The 7,941-nt window shown below is 35.2% G+C and overlaps 1 annotated feature.

Moving 5' to 3' along the window:
- Positions 1,971-2,853: an enhancer, noted in NCBI's record as "OCT4-NANOG hESC enhancer chr2:13962357-13963239 (GRCh37/hg19 assembly coordinates)". NCBI's record gives its function as "activates a minimal SCP1, AML or CMV promoter by ChIP-STARR-seq in naive H9 embryonic stem cells {active_cell/tissue: H9 hESC(naive)}" and the evidence as "EXISTENCE:reporter gene assay evidence [ECO:0000049][PMID:30033119]".

The following is a 7,941-nucleotide window of genomic DNA, read 5'->3' on the forward strand; positions in this document are numbered from 1 at the left end:
TAATTGTATGGTCAACTTGACTGGGACACAGTACTAGCTTTTTCCCAAACATATTTTTAGATGTTTCTTTGTATGTATTTTAGAGATAAGGTTAAGATTTAAATCAGTAGACTTTGAGAAAAGCAGATTTTCTTACAAAATGTGGGCCAGTTTCGTCCAATCAATTGAAGAAAAAAAATAGATGGATCTGCCCAAAGAAGAAATAATTCTGCCAACAGACTGCAGTGGACTCAAACTGCAATATCAGCTAACCATTGGTCTCCAGCCTGATGGCCTATTGCCTATCTATCTTATAAATTTTGAACTTGTCAGTCTCCACAATTGCTTAAGCCAATAATTTAAAATCTTAATCTTAATCTCACACACACAGACACAGACACACTCATCCTGTTGGTTCTTTTTCTCTGAATAACCGTGATTAATACAATGCTAAATTAATATATTTTTTTAAATGATAGATTTTTTTCCTTTGGCTGTCCTTCTTTTGTCCATATATAAAGTCTATGTATAACTAAGTAAGCGTCACAAGTTACACTCATAGAAGTGCTGATGGTTAGTATAGGGTACTTTTTATTAGGAATTACTTTTTCAAAGAAAGCAATTAACCCCCTAATGACACCCCAACCCCTGCCCTCCCTAGGAACACCTCTATTTTTATACATTTCGATCCCTCTATTAATTATGATGTAAATCCCAGCTTAGAGTCAGAAGACCTGGGTTCTTGTTTAAGTTCTGCCATTCAGTAACTGGAAGACCTTGGGCAAAATCCATCAACCTCTTTGGCTCTCAGCGGTAAAGTGAGGAAGCAGCTCATCTGTAATTTATGTGCTGTGGGGAATTGACATCTCTTACAGCTATGAAAGAGCAAATTTAAGTGGAAGAAAGGCATGATTTAGATTCAAAAACATAGTTTGAATTCAGGGTTGTTAATTTATCGGTCATGTGTCTCTAATCAGTTTTTTACCTATTACTTTTCTCATCTATAAAAAAACATTTATTTATAAATTCTTTAGCCTCACTGTTTTATTTTGCCAATAAAGTGTGGTTCTGCAGGCAGCTTGGCCTGGGATAATCACAAACACATCTGAACCACTCTTGAGTCACTTCACATTCATGAGGGATACCTCATATCACTATCTAGAAAATGTCATGACAACTCTGTGCAAGAAATGTGGGTTGTTTTCCAAGTCTGTGCTAAGCAGGAAATGAGTCTTTTTACGAAAGAGTTCAAAGTATTCCTCACATCATCTTAAGAGTGAAGGGCTCTCACAGAGTACATACACCAAGAGCAGGCATATATGCACGTAACACATCCAGGTGGGTGACACAGAGAGGTGCTGCCCTTCACAGGCTGGCCCACACACTGAAGGCTTATTTGGATGATGACCATCACATCCTAGAAATCATTTGATAGAACGTTGCCCTTCAGGACAATTCTTTCAGAAGTTGTGAAATCCAAGATTTTCTCTGATTGTGATAGGCTTGAACAAGATGGACAGCTGGGCACCCACAGGGACTCTTTGGACTAAACAGAGACATCTGACCAGGTGCTTCAAGAGAGCAATTCAGAGGAAAGTCTGAGGAGTCATTCTTACCCGCTACAAATCCTTAATGTTTATTTTTATATGCATGTGTATGTTTAATTGTATTTTTTTTTTCAAGAAGAGGTTTCAGTCATTGTCAACACATTTATTTTTCATCATCACAAAATACTGAGTCTAAGGTTCTCTTAGATTGTTGAGGCTAAATTGATGGATCACATGGCACCACCTGATTATACAAGCCAGGATTCTAGTGATCAGGGTCCAGAGCAGTTCTCATATAAAATGCTGCCTGCACCAGGTATATGTATTATTATTATTATTATTATTATTATTATTATTATATTGCAGTTCTCACATACAATGCTGCCTGCACCAGGTATAGGTATATTACTGTTATTACTATTACATTTTTGAGGGAGAGAATGTGCTATATGCCCCCTTAGCCAATTACAAAGAATAGATCTTTTCAAAGCAAAAGTTGAACTGGACATAGTTCAACACGTAAGGAAGAGACTCCAGAATTCAGTCTGAGCTCACCTCTGCTGAAACAAAAGGCGGGAGCGTTTTAAGAGCTTGGATTGGAGGATACAGACCATCTACCCTTGCTAATTGTCCTTACTAAAAGGAAAAGAAGTGAACTTTCTCAAGTCTTTGTGAAAGGAGGTGATTATCCAACTTGAAACAAGGTGCCAGCTGAAGTTAGGTTCCTACGCTGCCATAGGAAGAGGAGATAGGGGTGTTATGTTATCTTCCTTGACAGTTGCATTTCAAAGGTAAGGCTCCTAGGTCCTTGAGAAAGGCAGTGCTGAATTGTAAAACTGGGAAGAGGCTTTTAAAAAAAAGATTTACATCTCAAAGGGGCAGAGAAGGAATTTGCAATTACAGGTTTTCTAAAGTAAATGCTCTAAGGAAAGAAAGGTTAGGGCTTACAATCCTGTCTGAAGTTTAGTCCAAGCTGAGGGAAAACATTAAGGCCTTCTTGGTCAATGTCAAGAACACAGAACATCTTCAGTACATTTTAGCTCTTATAATTAGTGTAATCATCATGATTTGTACATCAAGCTTTTAAATTTGGAATTTGGCTTTATACAGTTTCTCAAAGAAAAATTTTTTTACTATTTAAAATATTTATTTTTCTTCTGCTTCATAAAAGAAATGCTTTTTTCCTCTTGAGGTCCGTGATTCATTATACTGTCTTCTTTCTCACGTAAAAAAGGAACTTTTTCACTGCACTTTACACTTGAAAGGAATTCAACATTAAAGTTTAAAACTTTCCTTCACATCAGGCTTATTTGCTCTAATTAAAACAAGATTAGCTGACATTCACAAGTCATTTACAAAATGTATAACTGCATTCTGAGAACACATCTAATTACAAAGACAACATGGGAAATTGCAAGAAGGTTTTGAAATTTACCCTAATATTTTCTTTACACCATTGTTCTCAAAACTTCATTAATAAATTGTTCTTAACACTTTCTCTGTGAATTAGAATCTAGAGTTTGCCTTCCATTTTGTCTTTTAAATTCAGCAACAGAGATTCCTAGAAAACACATAACAGAATTAAAATAGAAGCACTGGGATAGAGAACCAGAACTCTGAGCTAGTGTTTTGTGCCAGATGCTTTCACATACATGATTTTATTTAATTCACATGGCAATGTAGTTGAGTAACTGTGCTATTCTCATTTCACAGATGAGGAAGTTAAGGCTCAATGATATTAAATAACCTAACCAAATTCACTGATCTAGTGAATGAACAAAGAATTAAATTCCTGCCTCTGGGCTGTGGCTGTAACTTTCATGTATTTATCCTTGTCAATAAAAGATAGGCTTGGAAGGGTGCTTTGTGATTAATTTTGGAAAATCATATTTAATACATTTCTACTTGACATAGACAATAGTTAAAAAATGGACCATAAAATTCCACATAAAAATCAAAATAAATATCTCCTCATCTGATGGGTCAGGAATCTCACTGAAAAAGGTAATATAATCTTTGTTTGTGGGAGTTAGGAGGTATTTACATTTCTGTAAAGGAAACAGATGACAAAATATAGAAAGACCATTTCCTAGGCCCTGAAATTGTTTGCCATTCCATTTTGAAACAAGTAGTATAATTCTAAAACAAACAAACAAACAAACATCAAGATCACCATGAAGTAACCAAGTAAAGGATGCTACAGTATTGGATTAGACAATAGGCAATTTGGGACTCAGTTGGGGGAAAGTTCACATCTTGGAGAAATGGAGGGAGAAGAGATTCAACAGTAGGAATTTGTAAAGTCTCAGGCTCCCATACCATGTGAGGAAGAGGGAGGACTCAGGAAGAGTGTAGGCCTTTCCTAGAACACACTAGACCAAAGAGAAGCTCAGCTGTCCTTTTTGTAATGTTGTGTCCGTTAATTTTTGTATTATTTTTTAATCTTTTTAATTAAGTCATCTGCCAGTTATTCAGTGTTTGTTTAAACTTGAATAACTCATTACTCTTCTGTGAAAAGTTTTCTCCTTCAAAAACAAAGGGGCCCAAACCAGATGAATTCCAAGGTATCGTCAGCCAGCCCACTACGTCATGAAAAACATCTTCAAAAACAGGAAGATTAGTAAACAAAAGAGGTTGATGAGTACACTGGCTGGATTTCAAAGTCATGTCATCCAGTGGGCATTCTTTCTGAGAAGTTGTCTTTGATCACCTACATCGTCCAATGCTCACTGCCATATATATATATATATATATATATATATATATATATATATATATATATATATATATATTTGCTGTCTTAAGCACATGTGGCTGATTATTCCTCAAATTCTCAGTCCCTCAGTCCCAATCTTGGAACATGTGAATGTGTTATGTTACATGGCAAGAGGGACTTTGCAGATGTAACTAAGGTGACAGACCTTAAAATAAGATAACCCTAGCTTATCTAGGCACACCTGATCTAATTACATGAGCCACTTAAAGTATATTTTCTCAGGCTGCCTGGAGAAAGACGCTGCAAAAGAGAATGGCAAGAGAGATGATAGAGGAAAGGAAGTCAGAGGGATTTCAAGCATGTAGTGGGTTGGACAAACTGTTACTGCTTTGAGATTTAGGGTCACTGTATAAAGATCAGAGAGAAGCCTATTGGAGCTAATGCACAATATGAGAAGAAATGCATGCAGTTTTTAGAAGCAAAGAGGGATTTCTGGTTGACAGCCAGTGAGAAAACTCTGTCCTACAAATGCCAACAATCTGAATGATCTTAGAAGCAGGTTATTCCCCCAGAGCCTCCCATTAGTAACAAGTTCTGCTAACACCTTGATTTTAACCTGGTAAGCCCCTGGTAGTGTTTTGTGCCAGATGATTTCACATACATGATTTTATTTAACTCACATGGCAATGTAGTTGAGCAACTGTGTTATTCTCATTTCACAGATGAGGAAGTTAAGGCTCAATGATTTAGGTGATGGATTCTTGTTGGATTTTACTATAAATTCAAGGCACTAAATGCCATCTTGTGCATATTTGAATTTCAACTTGCAGAATTGTCATATAATAAACTTGTGTTGTTTTAAACAACTGAATTTGTGGAGATTTGTTACGGCAACAATAGAAAACAAATACATCAGATTCCCAAATCCATCTGTACAAAAATTCACTGGTTAGAGAAAAGGGAGCACTTCTGGTGTAAGTGTAAATTAGTTCAACCATTGTGGAAAGCAGTGTGACGATTCTTCATACAGCTAAAGACAAAAATACCGTGCCACTCAACAATCCATTACTGGGTATGTACCCAAAGGAATATAAATTGTGCTACCATAAAGACATATGCACATGTGTGTTCATTGCAGCACTAGTCACTATGGCAAAGACATGGAATCAATCTAAATGCATATTAATGGTAGAATGGATAAAGAAAATGTGGTACACAAACACCATGGTATACTATGCAGCCATAAAAAAGAATGAGATCACATCTTTTTCAGGAAAATGAATGGAGATGGTGGCCATTATCCTTAGCAAACTAACACATGAACGGAAAACTAAATACTGCATGTTCTTATTTATAAATGAGAGCTAAATGATGAGAACATATGGACACAGAAAGGGGAACAACAGACACTGAGGCCTACTGGAGGGTGGAAGGTGGGAGGTGGGAGACAATCGGAAAAAATAACTGCTGGGTACTAAGTTTAGTACCCAGGTGACAATCTGTACAATTCCCCATGATATGAGATTACCTATATAATAAACCGGCACATGTACTCCTGTACCTAATAAAGAAATTTTAAAAACTCACTGGTTAATTCAAAATATTTTAATGGTTTCTGAATTTGTATATAATACAATAGCTGTGTTAGGCAAAGCTTCTTATCTTCATTTTATCTCTTCTGTTAAATTGCAACTTCCTTGAAGACAGAGACTCAGGATGATTTACTATCATTGGTATAATCTGTGAGTCAGGTAAAGATTTTCTGAATTCTAGCTCCATCACTTGAGTTTTTTTCGACTATGAAAGTTGATTTGGACTCCTACTCCCTGTGTATATAAAAATGGGTGCAATTGTGAATATTTCATCTTCAAAATGAAGATTAAATGATAGAATGCATGTGAAGCACCTATTAGTGGAATGATTGTTGTATCTGGTACATCGTGTTTCTTTGTGACTATATTCTGTTACGTGAACCAGCACCCCTGGCTTCTGAAACTAGTGCAGCCTCAATGGGCATATGGTAAGCTAAGATTTTAAAATAGCAACCACGATAATTTTTCATCATCTAATTTTTGAAAGTGATTGTTTAGAACAGACCGCACTTGCTCTACTTCCAGATTCTGACACTAACAAATTGTTTCCTGAATAATTGAAAAGTGATTCTTCACCGAATTGCCCATTAACTGTGCTATTTTCTTTAGACTGCTCACAAAATAAATAAGGCTGGAGTTTGAGAGAGAGTGATAATAAATTTTGTCACTCTCTTAGGCTTTAAGTGATGGATTCTTGTTGGATTTTACTATAAATTCAAGGCACTAAATGCCATCTTGTGCATTTTATTTGACCTTGTGTTAATACAGATTGAAAGCAACCAATATCAAGATGTCTCTTCCCCAAAATAAAAGGAGAGATATAAAATAAAAAATAACTGGGTTAAAAAGTAGAACTGAGTAATCTTATGAAATAAATATTTCATTCAAGATTTTAGGTAAAGGGAAATCTGAGAGAATATCTATTTCCTGCTATGTAATAAATACATAGAATATACAAAAAGAGATAGATAGATTTCCCTGAGCAGACTTGGAGTAATTATTGTGTGCATGCCTAATTACTAAGGTAAAGGGAAAATTTTAACTTGAGTGTGAAATTTTAAAGACAAATAATTCTCCGAACTACTAGGACTATTTTTAATATTTTCCAAAATTTTATAAACTCAGCAACTAGATTAAATGAAGTCAATATTACAACACTTCCTCTGAAATAGGCATGTTTAACTCAAGAATAATTTTGATGTGTTTAATATTTGGCTAGTTCTTGCGTTTTGTATTTTTTATTATTTTAATTTTTACTTTTTAGTGTATTTATTACATTTTTCTTTGTACTAGATAGAAAATTGTACACTCATATCTGGTATTTCAGTGCTTAGCACAAATATTCTAACATTTGCATGTGTTCACATAATACTTACATAATAAATAATAATACCTAAACTAATCAATATTATAAATCCTCTGCATTTCAATTTAAGGAATTTAAGCATCTTTAATTTCAATTACCCATTTGTAACTGATATTATTTATTAATAGTAGTACTATTTATTTTTGGAATCTTTTCAACTCTTTCTTGAATTAAATCCTTTAGGAGTTATTTTATGAGTGTTTATTGATAAAATATTCTCTTAACCTTGTTTTTGTTTTTGTTTTAATTAAGAGACAAGGTCTCAATCTGATGCCCAGGCTGGAGTGCAGTGGCACAACCATAGCTCACTGCAGCCTCAAACTCCTGGCTCAAGCAATCTTCCCACCTGAGCTTCCTGAGTAGCTAGGACTAAAGGTGCACCCTGTCATTCCTCATCTAATATGTTTTACATACGTATTTTATTTTTTGTAGAGACAGGGTCTCTTTTGTCCAGACTGGTCTCAAACTCTTGGCTTCAAGCGATTCTCCTGTCTCAGCTTCCTAAAGGTCTGGGATTACAGGTGTGAGCCATAGCACCCGGCCTCTCTTAAGTTTTATATTTTTTGGACATTGATTTGTTTTTACCATCATGCAGTATGGAATTTTAGGATGATACATTTTTGATCATCCCTTTGAACATATTATACCAGTGTAAGCTGTTTTATATTGTTAATTATGAGACCTATTCTGTCAGTCTTATTATTGTTTTTTTGGTAGCTAGCTTATTGTTCTTTATCTGTA

The sequence above is a fragment of the Homo sapiens genome, chromosome 2, assembly GCF_000001405.40.
Source record: "Homo sapiens chromosome 2, GRCh38.p14 Primary Assembly".
In the NCBI taxonomy this organism is placed as follows: domain Eukaryota; kingdom Metazoa; phylum Chordata; class Mammalia; order Primates; family Hominidae; genus Homo; species Homo sapiens.